The sequence below is a fragment of the Homo sapiens genome, chromosome 18 (genome assembly GCF_000001405.40).
Source record: "Homo sapiens chromosome 18, GRCh38.p14 Primary Assembly".
Classification (NCBI taxonomy): Eukaryota; Metazoa; Chordata; class Mammalia; order Primates; family Hominidae; genus Homo; species Homo sapiens.
Genome location: NC_000018.10, coordinates 50,967,776 through 50,988,473, shown reverse-complemented (window position 1 = coordinate 50,988,473; position 20,698 = coordinate 50,967,776). Strand labels below are relative to the sequence as shown.

Below are 20,698 nucleotides of genomic sequence, written 5' to 3'. Positions count from 1 at the left end.
GCTCCTTATATATGTTGTCTTGTTTAACAATCTATGACATAGGTCTTACTGTTTTTCCCATTTTTGAAATGAACAAGCTGAAGAAACTCAGAGAGTGGGTTACCTGCTCCAGACCACACAGAGGTACTACCACATATCAGAGAATGGGACTCTGGGATCAGGTCTTTCTGGCATCAAACACTGGTTTATGATCATTTGAAGCAATACTGTTTTTAGTATGTTGATGGACACTACACCACTCCTAGGAGGACAGACAGCAATAATGTGTTTCCCAAACTGATTTGACTGAGGAGCTCCTCTGAGTGAATCAGCACTGAAGGCTAGCTTTCCATGGAGCATGTTTTAAGAAACATTGTGGGGCAAATAACGTTTATTAATAGGGACACGTCAATGAAACCTCAGTTTAACAGATAAGCATTTTTTACCTCCAGGTTCATAAGCTTCACTTAATGGCTCATTTCTTTTGAATGTTATTTGGTATGACACTGCAATTCTAACACATTCACTCTTTAGGATTTGACTTACCTAGTAATTCCACTCATTATGTCACTAATTTTGGTAAACTATATTCACATCAAGAGTATAAACTAACTTGCTGTGTATCTCAATGGGCCTGCAATTTGCATTTCGGGGTGAGATGATTCTTTATTGTATATGACTGACCAAAACTTTGCAGGACAGCTAACATCCCTTATCCCTGCTGACTAAATACCAGTAGTAGTAGTACCACCACTACCACCACCGTACTCAGTCACTGTGACAAGAAAACATACCCATAATTTCAAACCTGCTTCTAGAGGAGCAGTGTCACCCCAGCTGAGAACCATGGGTTAAGACCCAAATAGAAAGTTTAATAAAATGTTAAAATAAACACCTAGCCAAACCCTGCATTCAGTATTCCAGCAAAGCTATGGTCATGCTATCATCAATCCTGCCTGTCCAACGTCTCATGACATTTCTCCCTCTTCTGTTAATAACACAAACAGATTCAATACAAACTGCCAAAATACCATTTTTAGCCACGAGGGCTGAGTCCTGTGCTCTTTGCCAATAGCAGCAATAAAGCTGGGCAGAAGCTAAGCCCAGGACTGCATGGAATATTGGCTATCTGTGGTAGTAGCACAAAATAAGATGTATAACTGAATAGTCTATCATTTTGACAAATCTGGACTTCAAAAAGGATGCTGGGTTTTTTTTCTCTTAAAAAGATTTATTATCAAAAAGTTTGCTCCCTTTAAATACTGAGCCAATTCATCAATGCAGCTCCATTCTTTTTAGGATTATTAGGGCCCAAATAATTTCAGACTAAAACAAGAAATAAAAAAACTGGACTATAGGTTCAGTAACATATTCACAGACATGTCAGTGTGCACTCAGGAACACTGGTTTCATTTCTTGATTGGAATGCTTATCACCATAAAATCTTCTGCTAGAGTCACTTCTTGGAGATCTAACACTGATTCAGCTTGCTTTTTTAGTTCTGCAATGCCATCTGTTTCTCCTTCTCTGGCCAAGGCAACTGGTTTGTACCTCTGACTGAAGTGAGTCAGAACCAGCCTCTTTGCACGGCACAACTTTGCAAATGTTGCTGCCATCTGTGGTGTGCTGTGGCCATGCTCCTTTGCTTTGTCCATCTGGGCATCATCCAGGGTTGCTTCGTGGATCAACAGGTCTGCTTCAAAGCACAGTTTTACTCCTCCATCACCCACAACCCCAGAGCAGTCACCCAATATGCAGATTTTTCTTCCAACAATAGGCTTTTTTAAGACATCTTGGGGAGAAATTGTAACCCCATTTTCCAGAACAACAGAAATTCCATTTTTCAGCTTCCCATAGGCAGGACCTGGTGGAACACCTAATGATGAAGGCAGATAACATTACATCATAGGAATGGAATTTATGACTTTTCAAGAGTCTATTTTAACAGCATTGCAAATAGCTAATGGAAAAGGCATCCATAATTGTTATAAATGTTTTACTACTTGTGGAAAACTGGATTTATACATTTTTAAAATTTCAGTGTTGATTGATATTAGCAATGCCTTAGTACTTGAAACATTTCCCATGCATACATGTCAGACAAGTTTTAGTCTCCTAAGTATCACTAGGACCTTATTGTAGTCACTGTAACATTCTTGATTCTCTGCTGTGCACAGAAACAACAGTTTTTGAGAGTGCTTTATTTAATAAGCTCACCTTTGGGTAAAATTTGAGAGTGTATTTAAATAGTGATATAGTCAGGCTGGGTGCACTGGCTCATGCCTGTAATCCTAGCATTGTGCGAGGCCGAGGCAGGTGCAGTGGTGCACACCTGTAGTCCCAGCTATATGGGAGGCCAAGGCACAAGAATTGCTTTAACCCAGGGGGCAGAAGTTGCAGTGAGCGAGCTGAGATCACACCACTGCACTCCAGCCTGGACAACAGAGTGAGACTGCCTCAAAAAAAAAAAAAAAAAAAAAAAAGATATAATCAACACCTAGTCAAAACAAGTACCTACAAAGTAACTTAATAAAAAAATTGTTAGCAGGATTGTTTGTATTACAAGATCAAGGAGCATTTTTTCAGGCAATTGTACATTATTAGTCTTCTTGGCAGACAGGGGCAGTTCCACATTTATCAAAGTGGGCTTAAATCTCGTATTAATTTAAAGTAAGACCTGATCATCACTATGGACAATACTTACAAACTAGTATAGTATGACCACCAATTCCAACACAGATCATGTTTAAAGTTTCCAAATATAATAGTATTTCCACAGGCTTTCAGGTAATAAAAATATCCTTGGCCTAAGTCACTTTTCCTCATTATCTAGCATTTTGTTTTAGTTGAGGAAGAGATCACATAAATAAAAAAACAAACACACACAAAATGCCACTGTGCTTTTTACAGGCACTGCCACAGCATGCCTGTGAAGGCAGTGACACTGGAGATATAATGTACCTGGACTCTACCTCACAAGAGGTGCTGAAAAGATCCCCTCATGCATGCTGGCTTAGCGCTTAGCATAGAGGAGGTGTGAAGCCTTAGATGGGCCCCAAGCCCACCTCTGTATGCTTGCTTTCAACTACGATGAACCCTGATATCTAAAACTGGTTGAGGCACAGGGTTTTGAATACCAAATTAATTTAATCAAGGTTAAATTAGTAAGCAAAGTAGATACAGAAGTAAACTCTGAAAGCACATGGTTGCAGTTGTAAGGTTAAGAACGATGGCAAAAATTCTCAGACCGAAGATGTCATCAAAAACACGTATCAAAGGGAAGACATGAAAAAATAAAGCCTGGACCTAAAACCACCACCACTACCACCCAAATCACCTTGCCAACCAAGATAGTATAAGGTGAAGACAGACTAAGAATGTGGATCCAGGGAGATGAAGACAGGATTCAAATGTATACTTGGGTTTTGCTCTAAATAGCATTTTTTGGCCCCATGGATTTTCCTTAATAAGCAAACTTTGGACAAAGGGACTAAGTGGAGAAATTGTCAGTTTCAGGCCTGGGATAGAGGAGTGGAAGCTTACTATGACACTTTTTTTTTTTTGAGACAGAGTTTCGCTTTGTCACCCAAGCTGGAGTATAGTAACACTATCTTGGCTTACTGCAGCCTTGACCTCCCAGGTTCAAGTGATCCTCCTGCCTCAGCCCCCCAAGTAGCTGGGACTACAGGCACATGACACCACACCCAGTTACTTTTTGTATTTTTAGTAGAGATGGGGTTTCGCCATGTTGCCCAGGCTGGTCTTGAACTCCCGAACTCAAGTGATCCTCCCACCTCGGCCTCCCAAAGTGCTAGGATTACAGGCGTGAGCCACAACTCCTGGCCTTACTATGACATTTCTTATAGCTTCAGTCAACAGGAGCCCTATTGATGAGAAGGCGGGAAAAAACAAAAAACAAAAAAACACTTACCAAGGTCTTTAAGTTTCTGTGCATTGAGTTTACCTGGGCGTTTCTTTTCCACGACTGAAAACCCAAATGAGGGAATTCTGTGAAAGAGGCGAAATGCTTTTACAACAAATTGTTCATCATCAAACAGAAGGTATGAGTTTTCTTCTGAGTCTAACAGGATAGTTCTTCCTTGTTCCTCTTTGGGAGGACTGTCTGCTCTATTCACATGCGCAAATTCTTTTAGTTCTTCTGCAGGACATTGATCTGCTGTAGGAACCAGTTCATGAACCACATAATGGAAGACCAGCTCCGTGTGAGAGAGTTCCATGGTTCGCCAGATAAAGTCCCGAAGCCCTACAGGGCCATAGATTTCAATAGGCTGTTTGGACACCATGGAGCCACTCTGCAGGCTGATTGTGCAGAGGAGCCCAGGAAGGCCAAAGAAATGGTCTCCATGAAGGTGTGTGATGAAGATCTTGGTAATTCTCCCTTTTGATTGAGATAGAGAAATACGTTTGGAAATTTTTCATTAACTAAAAACCCATACAAAGCTATTTGAAACAAGCCTAACAATTTACATTAAAAATAGTAAATTGAATTTAAAAGTTCTACTTATCATCATAAACTTATTCATTTACATTTTGCTACATGATTCCAAAAACAAGAAGACAGGCTTTATTTCACCAGGTGGTTTTTTGTTTGTTTGTTTTTAATAGTTTTTTTTTTTTTAAAGAGACAGGTCTTGCTCTGTCATCCAGGCTGGAGTGCAGTGGTGTGATCATAGCTCACTGCAGCCTTGACCTCCTGGACTCAAGTGATCCTACTGCCTCAGCCTCCCAAGTAGCTAGGACTACAGACCCTACCACTATGCCTGGTTTTTTTTTTTTTTTTTTAATTTTGTAGAAATGAGGTCTTGCTATGTTGCCCAGGCTGGTCTCAAACTCCTGGCCTTAAGCAATTATCCCACCTTGGCCTCCCAAAGTGCTGGGATTACGGTGCCTAGCCCCACTAGATGGTTTCAATAAGATATAACATTTTTCATAAGACATCTTCATATTACATAGTTTTACAGCTTTCAGAGTATTTTAATACATTTTCTGTCACATAAAAAAACAAGTAGGCCAGGCACGGTGGCTCAACGCCTGTAATCCCAGCACTTTGGGAGACCGAGGCAGGAGGATCACCTGAGGTCGGGAGTTCGAGACCAGCCTGACCAACATAGAGAAACCCTATCTCTTCTAAACAAAAATACAAAATTAGCTGGTCGTGGTGGCGCATGCCTGTAATCCCAGCTACTCAGGAGGCTAAGGCAGCAGAATTACTTGAACCCAGGAGGCGGAGGTTGCGTGAGTCGAGATTGTGCCATTGCACTCCAGCCTGGGCAACAAGAGCGAAACTGTCTCAAAAAAAAAAAAAAAAAAAAAAAAAACACCAAGTAAAATATACAAGTGTACCAAAATAATTCACTTAACTATTAAATAGATAGGCCTCAAGTATTAAAAGCATCTAGCAATTACATTGCCCCCTACTGCTCCCTCTGAGAAAAGCAAACATATATTCCAGGAAAACAAAATGTTCCACTGGCTCCAACTGACTGGACCAGTGCCTGAACCCAAAATTGCCTTTTAAGGACTCCCTATACTGGACAGCGATTAACCAATCAAGTCACGGCCTGCTTGTCTGGGTGAGGTGGAAGAAGATGGAGAAAAAGGAAGAACGGTGAGGAAGGGAGGGGAAAAGGAGGAGGGAGAAGGGAGGTAGGAGAGGGAAAAAGATGAAGAACTGAGAAGGAAGGTGGGCAACAGAAGGCAGAATGCAGGAAAGCCGATCCCCTAAGCTATTATGTAAGGGTACTTGGGTCCATTCTTCCTTTCAGTCTGAACTAACACAACAGCTTTTTCAGTGCATATTGGCTTAGGTTATAACTTGGTTTAGCCAATGGTAAACTGAATTTATTGCTGGAATATGGCAGGATGCCACATCAGCATTTTCTGAGACACACCACATGACATTTCAAAAGTAACAACAAAAATTAACACATTTCTAGTGCAAAAGAGGCTTCTGGTCCTTTGCTCAAGGCCCACCTATTTTAAACGTTTGATGCTATAAAAGTACAGAAACAGTTTATTGATACCATAAAAGAACAGGAATAGTTTACTGTAATGTGATTTGTTCTATAACATCAAGTGTTCTCCAAGCAAGTCTTTCCAGAATTACTACATCCAAGCCCAGCCAGCAACAGAGAACAACAGATTGGCACAGGCTGATTGTGGACTTTGCGAATCCCCAGGAGGCACTCTAGAAGTTTCCTCGATATGCTCCTTTTTGCTGTTTTTTTACTGCCTGAATTCCTCATTTCCCCCGTCTCCCTGTCCGGGTTGCCAAGCCACCTCCATGTGTGACCTGAGGACTCTGCAGACAAAAAAACTACAGCAATAGGGCCGGGTGCAATGGCTCATGCCTGTAATCACAACACTTTGGGAGGCTGAGGTGGACGGATCACCTGAGGTTGGGAGTTTGAGACCAGTCTGATCAACTTGGAGAAACCCTGTCTCTACTAAAAATACAAAATTAGCTGGGTGTGATGGCACATGCCTGTAATCCCAGCTACTCAGGTGGCTGAGGCAGGAGAATCGCTTGAACCCAGGAGGTGGAGGTTGTGGTGAGCCGAGATCACGCCATTGCACTCCAGCCTGGGCAACAAGAGTGAAACTCCATCTCAAAAAAAAAAAAAAAAAAAAGAACTATAGCAGTCACTGAGTCCAGATCCCCCAGTGGCCTAAAAACTACCAATATCTGACTTTCTGGGCCCTTTCCCTATCCACTCTAAAACAAAGCCAAACTGAACACCAAAACAACCTGTGAACTCGAAGTGAGGCAAATTAAGTGACAAACTGCTTCCTACAGTTATCACAGTTTCAAGGAGACAAATACTTCATTTTTCAAGAAACCTGATTTCAAAGGGAGAAGGAATGGCAACCACAATTATCAAAGGTATGAGGAAGCTTTCAAATGAAGACACAAAAATGCCTGAGTTCCCTTTTCCTTGGGAACAAGGAAGTTATGGGGGAATATGTCATCCACAGAGGAATGGAATATTGAGCATTCTCTAAAAATGAAGACATAGGTATATTGACTGGATTTGGAAAAGCTGCAATATATTGTTTGTATACATTGCTCAGTTGAAAAAAAAAAGCAGGTTATGCCAAGAGCAGTATAATTCTATGTATGCAGAACTATACACACACACACACTCCCATACTATCACCATATCTATGTACATAGAAAATTCACCTATGAGGGGAGACTTGGACTTTTCTTATTTACACTTTTCTCTTTTGTTTGAATTTTTACAATAAGCATTTATACTTTTTATATCATTTAAAAAATCATGCTCTTATAATACTTTTAATAATCATTTCATGTGTACACATAAGTATAGGGTGTAGAATAATATACATGGAAGACTTGGAAGAGTAGGAGGGTGGCGGGGGGTGGGGGTGTGTGGTGAGGGATAATTAGTTACCTGATGGGTACAATGTACATTATCTGGTCATGAGTACATTAAATCCCAGACTTCACCACTATGTAATATATCCATTATCCCTAGAGGTAGTACAAGCTCAAAGGGTTTCAATGAATCAAATAATGATAGGTCCATAATAGGTTATGGAGAGAAATTAGTATGTACTGAGGGTGCTGCATTCCAGTTTGAGACTAGGGGCATCTGAAGTACTAGAGAGTCACAGGTAATGCTCTAGGATTACTATCTCACCTTCCTCTCTACGGCCAGAAATTTTTCTTTTTTTTTTTTTTTTTTTCGAGATGGAGTCTCACTCTGTTACCCAGGCTAGAGTGCAGTGGCACTATCTCGGCTCACCACAACCTCCGCCTCCTGGGTTCAAGCGATTCTCCTGCCTCAGCCTCCCAAGTAGCTGGGTTTACAGGCACCCGCCACCACGCCCAGCTAATTTTTGTATTTTCAGTAGAGATGGGGTTTCACCATGTTGGCCAGGCTGGTCTCAAACTCCTGACCTCGTGATCCACCTGCCTCGGCCTCCCAAAGTGCTGGGATTACAGGCATGAGCCACCATGCCTGGCCTCAGAAATTTTTTTTCTAAGCGTATAGAAATGTAGTAAACTAAAGGTTCCTTTGGGCTTTTGGGGTTGTGTTTTTTTTGTTTTCTTTTATTTTGTTTTGGGTTTTTTTGGCCAAGATTAGATTTATCAATTGTATGTATGAATGCATGCATTTATGTTTATTTATTTATTTGTTGAGACAGGGTCTTGCTCTGTCACCAGGCTGGAGTGCAGTGGCTCAATCATGGCTCATTGCAGCTTTGACCTCCTGGGCTCAAAGGATCCTCCTGCCTCAGCCTCCCACTGGGACCACATCTGGCTTTATTTCTTGTAAAGATGGAGTCTCTTTTTGTTGCCCAGCTTGGTCTCAAACTCCTGGCCTCAAGTGATCTTCCTGCCTTGACCTCCCAAAATGCTGGGATTACATGCATGAGCCACTGTGCCCAACTCCAACTGTTTATTTAAATCCTATATAGACTGGGCACAGTGGCTCACACCTGAATCCTAGCACTTTGGGAGGACAAGGCGGGTGGACTGCCTGAGCTCAGGAGTTTGACATCAGCCTGGGCAACATGGCAAAACCCCATCTCTATTAAAAATACAAAAAAAAATTAGCCAGGTGTCATGGTATGTGCCTGTAATCTCAGCTACTCAGGAGGCTGAGGCATAAGAATCACTTCAACCTGGGAGGCAGAGGTTGTAATGAGCCGAGATCGCACCACTGCACTCCAGCCTGAGCTACAGAGCAAGACTCTGTCTCAAAAAAAAACAAAAAACAGAAAATCATATATAAAGGAACTGTAAAATATACTTGTGGTGGATACTTTAGGTGATCCCTGTGGCCCCTACCTCCTGGTGTTCACGTCCTACAATCCCCTCTCCTTGAGTGTGGCTGGGACTTGTGACTTGCTTCTAACCAGCAGAATATGGCACAAGAATGCAATGCGATTACTTTATGGGACATAAGACTCCATCTTGCTAGCAGACTTACTCTAGAGTCTCCTTCTCCCATGCTGGCTATGAAGAAGCAAGCTACCATGAAGCAGAAACCTACAATGCAGAGAACTCAAGGAGCTCAGGGTGGACTGTCCTACCACTGTAAGGGTTCTGCCAACAACCTGAAAGAGCTGAGAAGCAGAATCTTCCCCAGTTGGGCCTCTGATGAAATTGTAACCCCAGCCAACACCTAGATTGCAGCCTAGTGAGACCCTGAAGCAGAAAACCTAGCTAAACCAGGCCCGAACTCCCTAACCTACAGTAACTAGGAGATAATAAATGCAAATAAGCCACTAAATTTATAATCTGTTATGCATTATTAGATAGTATCAGATAACTAACACAAGTATTAAATAAAAAGATGTATCCCCACAGCCAAACCTCTGGTACTCACACTTAACAATTTCTTGTTTCTATTTCAGTACACCTTGCCACCTCAACTCCTACTGTCTAAAATGTTAACTGTCAAGTCTCTACTCTGGCCTGTGCCTGTCCAGAGGGCTCTCATGAAGGTTCTCATGAAAGGAATCTCTGTACGATCCAAGAAAAGCAAAGAATAGCACCTGAATTATCTCAAAGTTTCAACACAAGACAGTATATAACTACGGTTCAATTGTACCTACCATATGTCCCAAACAATATGCATTAGCTCCTTCCTCCAACAACTCTTTTCCTGACTTCTTCTCTAGGTCCAGGACATCACCATCAGTAACTTGTATTAATTCTTCACTTCCTCACACACTAGACATTCAGTGACCATCTCCTCTTATTTCTACAAGTATCTCTTAAATTGAATCTCTCATCTCCATCTCTATACTTCAATATCCTCATTCTCTCTCTCTCTCACACACACACACATATACACAGTGATGATATGGTTTGTGTCCCCACCCAAATCTCATCTTGAACTGTAGCTCCCATAATCCCTACATCATGGGAGGGACCCGGTGGGAAGTAATTGAATCATGGGAGCAGGTTTTCTCATGCTGTTCTCGTGACAGTGAATAAGTCTCACGAGGTCTGATGGTTTGATAAAGGGGAGTTCCCCTGCACATGCTCTCTTGCCTGCCACCATGTAAGACATACCTTTGCCTTTGCCTTCCACCATGATTGTGGGGCCTCCCCAGCCTTGCGGAACTGCGATTAGTTCATTAAACCTCTTTTTTTTTTAAATAAATTACTCAGTCTTGGGTATTTCTTCATAGCAGTATGAAAATGGCCTGATACAGTAAATTGGTACTGGTAGAGTGGGATAATGCTATAAGGATACCTGAAAATGTGGAAGTGACTTTGGAACTGGGTAGCAGGCAGAGGCTGGAACAGTTTGGAGGGCTCAAAAGGAGACAGGAAAATATGGGAAGGTTTAGAATTTCCTAGAGACTTGGAGGGCTCAGAAGACAGGAAGACATGGGAAAGTTTGGAATTTCCTGTTGAATGGTTTTGACCAAAAAGTCCAGGCTGAGGTGGTCTCAGATGGAGATGAGGAACTTATTGGGAACTGAAGCAAAGGGATTCTTGCTATGCTTTAGCAAAGAGACTGGCAGCATTGTGCCCCTGCCCTAGAGATCTGTGGAACTTTGAACTTGAGAGAGATGCTTTAGGGTATCTGGCAGAAGAAATTTCTAGGCAGCAAAGCATTCAAGAAGTAACTTGGGTGCTCTTAAAAGCATTCACTTTTATGTATTCACAAAGATATGGTTTGGAATTGTAACTTATGTTTAAAGGGAACCAGAGCATAAAAGTTCAGAAAATTTGCATCCTGATGATGTAACAGAAAAGAAAATCCTATTTTCTGAGCAGAAATTCAAGCTAGCTGCAGAAATTTGTGTAAGTAATGAGGAGCCAAATGTTAATCACCAAGACAATGGGGAAAATGTTGCCAGAGCATGTCAGAGGTCTTCACAGCAGCCCCTCCCATCACGTGCCCAGAGGCCTAGGAGGGAAAAACGGTTTCCTGGCCTGGGCCCAGGGCCTTGCTGCTTCGTGCAGTCTTGGGACTTGGTGCCCTGCATCCCAGTGTGGCTTAAAGGGGCCAAGGTACAGCTCAGGCGGTTGCTTCAGAGACTGCAAGCCCCAAGCCTTAGCAGCTTAGATGTGGTGTTGGGCCTGCGGGTGCACAGAAGTCAAGAATTGAGGTTTGGGAACCTCCACCTAGATTTCAGAGGATGTATGGAAACATCTGGATGTCCAGGCAGAAATCTTCTGCAGGGGTGGAGCCCTCACAAAGAACCTCTACTAGGGCAGTGTGGAAGGGAAATATGGGGTGTGAGCCCCCACACATAGCCACTGGGACACTGCTTAGTAGAGTTGTGAGAAGAGAGCTACTGTCCTCCAGAACCCATAATGGCAGCTCTATTGACAGCTTACACTGTGTGCATGGAAAAGCTGCAGACACTCAACACCAACCCATGAAAACAGCCAGGAAGTGGGCTATACCCTGTAAAGCCACAGGAGTAGAGCTGCCCAAGACAATGGGAGCCCACCTCTTGCATCAGCATGCCCTGGATGTGAGACATGGAGTCAAAGGAGATCATTTCGGAGCTTTAAGATTTGACTGTCCTATTGGATTTTGGACTTGCGTGGGGCCTATAGCCCCTTTGTTTTGGCCAATTTCTCTCATTTGGAATGGGTATATTTACCCAATGCCTGTACCCCCATTGTATCTAAGAAGTAACTAACTTGCTTTTGATTTTACAGGTTCATAGGTAGAAGGGACTAGCCTTGTTTCAGATGAGACTTTGGACTGTGGGCTTTTAAATTAATGCTAAAATGAGTTAAGACTTTGGGGGACTATTGGGAAGGCATGATTGGTTTTGAAATGTGAGGACATAAGGTTCTGGAGGAGTCAGGGGTGGAATGATATGGTTTAGCTATGTCCCACCCAAATCTCATCTTGAATTGTAGCTCCCATTATCCCCACATGTCATGGGAGGGACCCAGTGGGAAGTAATTGAATCATGGGGGGCAGGTTCTCTCATGCTGTTCTCACGACAGTGAATAAGTCTCATGAGATCTGACGGGTTGATAAAGGGTGGTTCCCCTGCATATGCTTTCTTGCCTGCCACCACGTAAGACACGCCTTTGCTCTGCCTTTGCCTTCCACCATGATTGTGAGGCCTCCCCAGCCATGTGAACTGCGAGTCCATTAAACCTCTTTTTTGTTGTTGTTTTAATAAATTACCCAGTCTTGGGTATTTCTTCATAGCAGTATGAAAATGAACTGATACAAGTGAACTGCAATTGCCTTGGAACTGGTCTCCCTGATGCTATTCTCTCTCTCCCAATACATGTGCCATCAGAAAACTCTGTCCTAAAACACAAACGAGATTGCATTATTCCCCCTTAAAAACATGAATGGTTCCTTTTTCCCAGTAGAACAATAAAGTCTAAATATCTTACTATGCTACAGAGGACTTCACAGTCAGCCCTCACCTTTTCAGCATTCTTAGTTCCATCTAGCCTAGCCAAGTACTCAATGCTCCCCAACATGCCAGTTCTTTCCTGGAAACTTCCTTACTTGTTGCTCACTTTGTTGTCTGTTCCCTCAATGTCCATCTCTACCTCTCTCTCAGAAAAACTTCTATGAATCTCTTGGATCCTAGCTCAACTGTTAACAATCTCTGGGATGCCTTCTATTAATGAATGAATGGTCAGTTACTTCCCCCTCCTTTGTGCTCCAAAGTACTTAGAAAATACTTCCATTATTCTACTTATCACATTACATGATTGATTACTGTCCGTTTGCATGTCAGTTTCCATCACTGGACCAAGAGATCCCTGAACACTAGAAGTATCTTTCCTTTAGTCACCAAGTGCCAGGTACTGTGAAGAGTTGTAGGAATAATGACTTCAATACTATTTATCAAGACCTAATAAGTGAGAGGCACTGTGCTAAGTTGCTAAACGTCTTATCCATTCACTAAAGTAAGTTCCATGATCATTTATATACTTAGTAGATGCCTAGTTGAACAGATATAACTAGGCATCTACTAGGTATATAAATGATCATGGAACGTACTTTACAGTATAGGGAGATAAAGAACACAGAAACAAACTAAATAACATAATTTCAGATACTGATGATGCTAAGAAGTCAATAAAAATAGGACAAAGTAAAGGAATGACTGGGGTGAGAGAGGAACTACTTAATCCAGGAGGATTTGGGAAAGCCTCTGAGAAGATGGCATCTGAGCTAAGATTTAACTGAGAAAGAGGCAATCACACAGAGAATAAATGATTACATGTAATTCTCATAACACCCTTTCTAAGTAGACTTTTTATCCCCATTTTCAAGATCGGGAAAGTAAAGTTGAAGTTTGCTGATATGCTAAGGTCACAGGCCCAAGACACAGCCAGGACTAGAACCCAGGTCTGCCTGACTCTGAGCTGAAGCTTTTCACCACTGGACTGCTCTATCTCCCAGGTGCTGGCCTCTGCTCACTCCATTCCCCCTGATTGAAATGCCCTTCTTCTCCTCAGCCCTGAAATTCCTCCTCCTCCTTTGACAATCCACAGGTCAACTTCTCTGAGAAGTTTACCCTGATAACCCCAAGAGGAAAACAACATCTCCCTCCTCCAAACATTTCCTACCCTTTGCATCCTCTCATGAAAACTATCTCCTGGTGGAGGTAAGTATGTACACTGCTTCCTTGCTAAGGCAGTGTTCATCTAATATGCCTGGTGTATCCCACGACATTTCCCAAACCCCAAGCCTACATGAATCCTTGCTTTCAGCATCTACAGGATAAATGAAAAGCAAGTAAATAAGTAAATGAAGTTCAGTGGACGTGGCCAGATGCCTGCAGGCCTTCCAAGTCTCACCAGGGTGTAGCACTGAAGTGGGATGCAACCATCAGGGCTGTTTCTAAACAAAATGTCCAAGGAGAGCCAAGAAAATGAAGCAGAACAACAAAAAAATCTTAATGAGATAGCTGAAGGCACACTAACCTGCTTTAAGTTGGCTTTTCATAAGCTGTGTCTGTGTTCCCTCCCCACAGTCAAAGAGCCAGCACTCGCCTTCACACCGAAGGACCACAGCAGAGGCACCCCGGGTTGGAGATGGGTATGCTGCACCCGTCCCCAGGAATGTCACATCCATAGACATCTTCCACCCTGCAACAGAAAGATCATCTGGGGATTATTTCATATCACTGTACCAAAAACATATTCCTGTAATATTTATCTCTATTATTACTTTTTGGTTATTTAGAACAGTCTGGATTCTTGGTCTCTCATAGTATTCCACACATATCCACAGTAAGGTTTTAATAACTTGGCTAAAACTACAAGTTAACAAATCTTGTATAATTGTTCACACACCCAAACAAACAAAAATAACCAAACCCAGGCAATTAAAAACTATAGCTGAATTCTAACTATATGATGTTCTCAAAAAGGCAAAACTATGGAGACAGTAAAAATCGTGCTTGCTAGTGATACAGGGTGAGAGAAGGAAGAATGAACAGGCAGAGCACAGGGGATGTTTAAGGCAGTGAAACGATTCTGTATGATACAGTAAGACAGACATATGTCATTATACATTGGTCAACTGTACACAGAATAAACACCACTAGAGTGAATGAGCTCTAATGTAAACTTTAGTTGACAGTGTATCTGTATCAATATTGGCTCAACAACTGTAACACATGTAGCACATTTTTCATTTTTTTTTCATGAGCCCTTAAGCTTCTGAACATATACCGCATTAATGCAAGATGTTAATAAGGGGAAACTGAGGGGTGAGGGATAAGAGAGTATATGGGAACACTCTGTACTTTCTACTTACTAATTTTTTTAAAAAAAATCCTTCTAATAAACACTAAACAACAACAACTCTAGTTGAGATACAGGGCAAGAGATGGTATTTAATGATACTCACCATATGGTGTCTCTGATGCCCATAATGATCAGCCCTTTCCCTTTCTCTGAACAATCATAACAGTAATGCTCTATTATGCTCTATAGTCATGCTGATATTTCACAATAATGCTGAACAAATGTCTCACTCCCTACATGACATGGTCCATGACTCACGAGGACTTGGGACTCTGCTATTTTAAGTGATCAGCAACAACCTGTTGAATGTGCAGGTTTATTCCAACTCCTGGCACTATTCCTTTCACTATTTCTAGGTACATCTGACATCACTGATATACTTCTGAGATGGAATATATGTATCAAACAGAATATATTAGAATGAACTGAAATTTATACATAACTGATTATAGATTATCCACATTGATGGCAGGGAAGAAAACAAAGAAGCTTAAGAAAAACTACTGTAAGAGAATTTGACTGACAGCTAGATATAAAATATACAAAAACTTCAGTAACTCTTCTCAGTCTTAGCAATAACAAGATAAAAACAGAAATGGGGGAAAAACCCATTCTAAGAGCAAAAACAAAATTACCAGAAATAAAGTTAGCAGGAAAGGAACAGCACCCAAAAGATTCACACGAATAAAAGATACACATTATGTCCCTGATAGGATGACTTGATATCACAGAGATGTTCATCCTTCCTAAGCTAATGTAGATGTATTTGGTGGAAATTCTATCAGACTTCCAGTGGGATTTATTTTGGAACAGAAACAATCCAAAAATCATATGGAAGGAAAAATAAATGTCTGAGAAGGGATGAGAAAATTCCAAAAAGCAGTGAGTGGTGACCTGCTTTTCTAGGTATTAACATTTACTACAGCAATCTGACATAATTAAAACAGAATAGGCCGGGCACGGTGGCTCATGCCTGTTATCCCAGCACTTTGGGAGGCTGAGGAGGGTGGATCACCTAAGGTCAGGAGTTTGAGAGCAGCCTGGCCAAGATGGTGAAACCCTGTCTCTACTAAAAATACAAAAATTAGTCGTGCATGCTGGCGCACACCTGTAGTCCCAGCTACTTCAGGAGGCTGAGGCAGCAGAATTGCTTGAACCTGGGAGGCGGCAGTCATAGTGAGCCAAGATTGCACAATTGCACTCCAGCCTGGGTGACACAGTAAGACTCTGTCTCAACAAATACATACATACATACATACATACAAACAATAATATTGGCACAAAAATAGAGGTAAAAGGGAAGGGAAAGTTCAGAAATAAACCAGCTACCTATCGGAATCAATACAGTATATAACAAAGGTGTAAAAAGTGTGGTTTCTTTAATGAATGGCACTGACATAATTGGCTATTCTAGCAGAGAAAAAAGCAAAGAAAGATGCTCACTTTGCATTGTATATAAAAATACACTTCACGTAGTTAAGAAATTTAAATGTAAAAAATCCAATAACGTGTTCAAAAAAATTAGGAGAATGTTTATACATTTAACTGTGGAGATGGGAAGCCCTTATTGGCAAGACATAAAATCCAGAAACTTTAAAAACAGACATTTTCACTAAATAAAATCTTTTATATATATTGAGACTCATAAAGTCAAAGGACAAGAAAAAAAACCTGAAAAAAAAAAGTTTGGACCCCCTTATGACAGGGGGTTAATGCTCCTAAAAAAAAAAAGTTTATGCAAATGCATTCAAAATACAAAAATACTTGTGCAACAGAAAAACAGGCAAAGGATATATATATATATATATATATATATATATACACACACACACACACATATATACATATATATACATATATACACATATATATACATAAATATGTATATATATGAATCACAGAAGAAATCCAAATGGCCTATAAGCATGAAAAGGGTTCAAACAACTATCGTGTATCTATTTAAAAAATTTAAGTTAATAAATAAAAGATAAGGGTTCAGTCTCCAGGTAGTTAGTGGAATGCAAAATAAAGAACAAAGAGGCTGGGTATGGTAGCTCATGCCTGCAATCCCAGCATTTTGGGAGGCTGGGGTGGGAGGATCACTTGAGCCCAGGAGTTTGAGACCAGCCTAGGCAACATAGTGAGACACTGTCTCTACAAAAAAATTAAAAAACAAAAATCAGCTGGACATGGAGGCATGTGCTTATAGTCCCAGCTTTTCAGGAGGCCAAGGCAGGAGGATCATTGGAACCTGGAAGGTTAAGGCTGCAGTGAGCTGTGATTTCACTGCTGCACTCCAGCCTGCTTGACAGAACAAGACCCACTCTCACAACAAACAAAAAGAGAGACCATTTACCACACATCAGCTGGCAGGCAAATATCAATAGAGCAATGCTAGTCAGTGCTAACCAGGATGACGGTAAATGGCTACTGTCACAAACTAATGGTGACAAAGTTATGAATTGCGATTAGGCTTTCGGAGAATAATTTGGAATATATATTACCAGTAATAATGATGCTGTTGATAATTATATGCTTTCACCCAGTAATCCCATTTTTGGTAATCTACCCAAATAATAAAGAGCTATGTAAAATGACGTGTATTGTGTTGCTCTCAAGATGGCTAAAATATGAAAGCAATCTAAAAATGTCAATAGGAAAATGGCTGAATATTTTATTGTACATTTGTGCTATTATTTAGTCTATCAACTATTTATTCTGCAGCTAATAGAGTCTTCTGTAACTACTGTTGTGGAGGGATGACAAGGAGAAAAGTTACAGATGGCTATGGTATGATCTCGTTTTTATAACAATACCCCAAACCCCTACATTTATGTAAGACAGAGAAAGTCTGATGTGGGAGAGGATACACACCATCCTGTTAATATGGGTTATCTCAGGGGTAATTAAAGTGATGGGGTGGGGGCTGTGCGGGGGGTTAACTTTTCTTTTAAATTTATTGCATTATGTTTCAATGAGTGGCATTTTATTTTTTTTAAATTTATATTTACTTAATGCTGATGATTTTTTTTTTTTTTTGGAAATGTGTCATATGGCCAAACATGCTTCTCTAACTACACACTACCTAGTCTTCCCTTCCATTTTGGGAAACAGCCCCTCCCCATATTTCCTGCCCCCAACCCTCATACATAAGGTGGTGCATCTCTACCTTAAGCATAGCGTTGAGGTTATTGCTAACATCCCTTTCATGTGTTACTCTACATTATCACCTCCAAGATCAAGTCTTCCTCTGCTAAGAAAGGAGCTTTATTTGCAGAGGCTTCCTTATTGATTTGCAAGATAGGTAAGAATAAACAGAATGCAGAAAGTTAACATTTGTAAAGGCAAATTAACTGCAGAAGGAATAATAGAATATAATCACTTTGTCATCCCTAACAAATAATGGATTTAGATCAGTAGTACATAACCCCGGGGGCATATTAGAATCACCTGGAGAGCTTTTAAAACATATCAGTGAAGGTCAGGTACGGTGGCTCCTGCTTGTAAACTCAGCACTTTGGCAGGCTGAGGTGGCAGGATGGCTTGAGGCCAGGAATTCAAGAGCAGCCTGGGGAACATGGCAAGACTCTGTCTCTATAAAAAAATTAGCCAGGCATGGTGGCATACACCTGTAGTCCCAAACAAAACAAAAAACCCTATCAATAATTGGGCTCCATCCCAGAACATTTAGATAGGAAATTCTGCAAGTGAGACATGTTTTAGTATTAAAAAGTAAATAAATAAAATAAAAAGCCTTCTCCTGTGATCCTAACATGGAGTCCGATTTGAGAATCACTTAGTGAAAGGCTAACAGAGAACTGCAATGTATGGATCAGGTTGACCTAAACTCACTACTCAACTAATCAATCTTTTTAAAAAAAGTTTTATTCTGAAAAACTTCAGACACATACAGAAGTAGAGATTAGCATAATGCAATGCCATACACCCATCATTGAACTTCAACAACTGTTAACTCATAGGCAATCATGTTTCATCTATACACACCACCCCCATTACTCCAAGAATACTTGATAAGACAAACGGTGTGCTGTCTGATGGGAGTACCCCATTAGGCAGCACGCATTGTCTAGCTGTCTCTCTTTCTGACGTTAACAGCCGCTAGTGATCATTGCCAGGATCCATTATTTCATTAGGGGTTGCCAAAAGGTGATATTCTCTCATTTCTTTTGCATGTATTTGCTGGCATTCCCTGGTCAATTGTTACCCTACGGTGCTACTTGTACATAAAAGGTCCACAAAGAGAGGCAAGATGCTATCTAACTCCTGGTATGATACAATGTGAAAAACACAGTAATCCCCCATTAAGTTCTCTTGCCAAAAAATCGAACCTGACCTGAACAAGTCTGCAGGTCTAAATACCTGCTTATTAAAGGATACCAGAGATGGAAAAAGCAAAATCCTGGTTGTAGAAAACGTGAACCGTACAAATGACTTGTTCAAGTAAAATACAGGGAACAAAATAAAGAGCAAGAGAAAAAGATTAAGAGAGATCTAAGAGACATCAACCAAATATAACGTGTGTAGATTGTTTGGATACTGATTTGGACAAACTGGGTAAGAGGAAAGAGACAACTAGGAAAATGTAAATGCTGACTGGATAGTAGAGGGTAAAATGAAGTGCTAAGTACACTGATAATGGCTTTATGTTTTAAAAAGGTGTTATTGTGTTTTATAAACATGAACAAGGTAACAGATGGAATGGTACATTTCAGATTTGCTTCAAAATACTACAGTGGGGGAGAGGGTAACAGATGAAACAGAATTGATCATGAATTGGGAGTTCAGTTACTATTCAATTTTCATATATGACTTGAAGGTTTCCATAATAATTTTAAAACAAATATAATGAAAACCCTCCAAATAGGTCGGGAAGTAATCAGAAATTATTTAATCAATGGTGCATGTTTTGGGACATGCACCATTCTAGGCACTAGGAATTAAATGCGAGCAAACCAGATTAGGTCCCTGTCTTCTTGGAAAAAAAACAAAACAAAAACCCAGCTGCTTGCTTTCTCAAGACTGTGATCCACGTTCGGCGAAGTGCATATTCCAGTCGTGATCACAGTACTGTCATTTCACTCTGGGCCCGTGGATCTCGGTCCTGGCCGCAGATCACAATTCCCCGGTGATGATGGGGCATCAGCATTTGGAGGCTTCCCAAGCGATTCTACTGGTTGCCGGGTTGAGAACCGGCGCTCCTTCGTTTTCAGGCAGGCAGTGTCAACCCTGCAATCACCCTGTGGTGTGCCTAGGGCAGATATCGCTGTCCTCCATCTTAGAGCTGAAAGAACCGAGGCCGGGCGGCAGAGAGTAAGAGGCCAAGGCACAGGCAGGGCCAGAGGCCAGATTTCCGGCCTCCAGAGAGCCCAGGCTCCCCCACGAGACCGTGTTGGCCTCGAAAAAGGCTGGGTGGGCGGCGGCGCCGGGCGGCCGAGGCTCCGGCCCGCCGAGACTCCGGCCCGGGGCGGTGAACGAGGCGCGTCCTCGCTCCCGGGCGCTCCCCAGGCTTAGGTCCCCAGCGCCGGGCCGTGCCTGATCGAGCCGGCGAGTCCCGAGGAAGCGCGCCCGCCCCCCTCTGGTATGCCCTACCGCACTCACCCTCTCCCCGAGGCCCGCGCCAGGAGCCGAGGGAGGCGCAGGCCCGCACCCTGGCCCAGCTGTCCGCGGGGCTACAATGCGCCCGGGCGGAAGTGCGCCGCCGGCCGGGTCCCGCGCGGCCGCTCTAGGATGCGAGGGAGGTCCGCGCTCGGTGGCGCCCGCGCGGGACCTGGCTCTGGGCGCGCTTCCGGGCTCCCCCCGGGCCGCGAGGGCAGTGATTGAGTTTCCCTCTTTCCCAGGTCGCTGTGTGTCAGGTGGTAGCTATCGCCCTGAGGACCAGAGCGGGATAAACCAAAAGGGAAAAAGTTACTCTTCTTTTGTTTTCCGTGTAATATTTTC

General features: G+C 42.0%; 1 protein-coding gene and 1 long non-coding RNA gene across 5 annotated transcripts in view, besides 1 other annotated feature; one reads left to right on the top strand and one right to left on the bottom strand.

Moving 5' to 3' along the window:
- Positions 1-13,686, top strand: part of LOC107985152 (uncharacterized) — a 55,307-nt gene extending 41,621 nt beyond the window's left edge. For 2 of the 4 annotated variants that reach the window (XR_007066370.1, XR_002958225.2), the window contains exons 2-4: positions 4,134-4,349; positions 5,520-5,608; positions 9,388-10,142. This is a non-coding gene — a long non-coding RNA (uncharacterized LOC107985152). Of the gene's footprint in view, positions 1-4,133; positions 4,350-5,519; positions 5,609-9,387; positions 10,143-13,480 lie in introns of those variants that run through there. The other 2 variants (XR_007066371.1, XR_001753449.3) reach the window with 2 other exon arrangements.
- Positions 353-20,434, bottom strand: ELAC1 (elaC ribonuclease Z 1). The gene is made up of 4 exons (NM_018696.3): positions 20,360-20,434; positions 13,913-14,077; positions 3,911-4,378; positions 353-1,855 (listed from the first exon to the last, which is right to left on the bottom strand). The coding sequence occupies exons 2-4, from the start codon at positions 14,067-14,069 to the stop codon at positions 1,389-1,391; spliced, it is 1,092 nt and encodes a 363-aa protein (NP_061166.1). The 5' UTR covers positions 14,070-14,077; positions 20,360-20,434; the 3' UTR covers positions 353-1,388.
- Positions 20,107-20,596: a silencer, noted in NCBI's record as "silent region_9460". NCBI's record gives its function as "represses an Ori minimal core promoter by ATAC-STARR-seq in GM12878 lymphoblastoid cells {active_cell/tissue: GM12878}" and the evidence as "EXISTENCE:reporter gene assay evidence [ECO:0000049][PMID:35858748]".

What these genes read in the sequence shown, in the direction of transcription:
- ELAC1 (NM_018696.3), bottom strand. Translation starts at nt 14,069, where the DNA reads ATGTCTATGGATGTGACATTCCTGGGGACGGGTGCAGCATACCCATCT. An exon ending in GAAAAGCCAACTTAAAGCAG is followed by an intron (nt 4,379 to 13,912) that starts GTTAGTGTGCCT and finishes CTCAATCAAAAG; the next exon opens with GGAGAATTACCAAGATCTTC. An exon ending in ACAGAAACTTAAAGACCTTG is followed by an intron (nt 1,856 to 3,910) that starts GTAAGTGTTTTT and finishes CTTCATCATTAG; the next exon opens with GTGTTCCACCAGGTCCTGCC.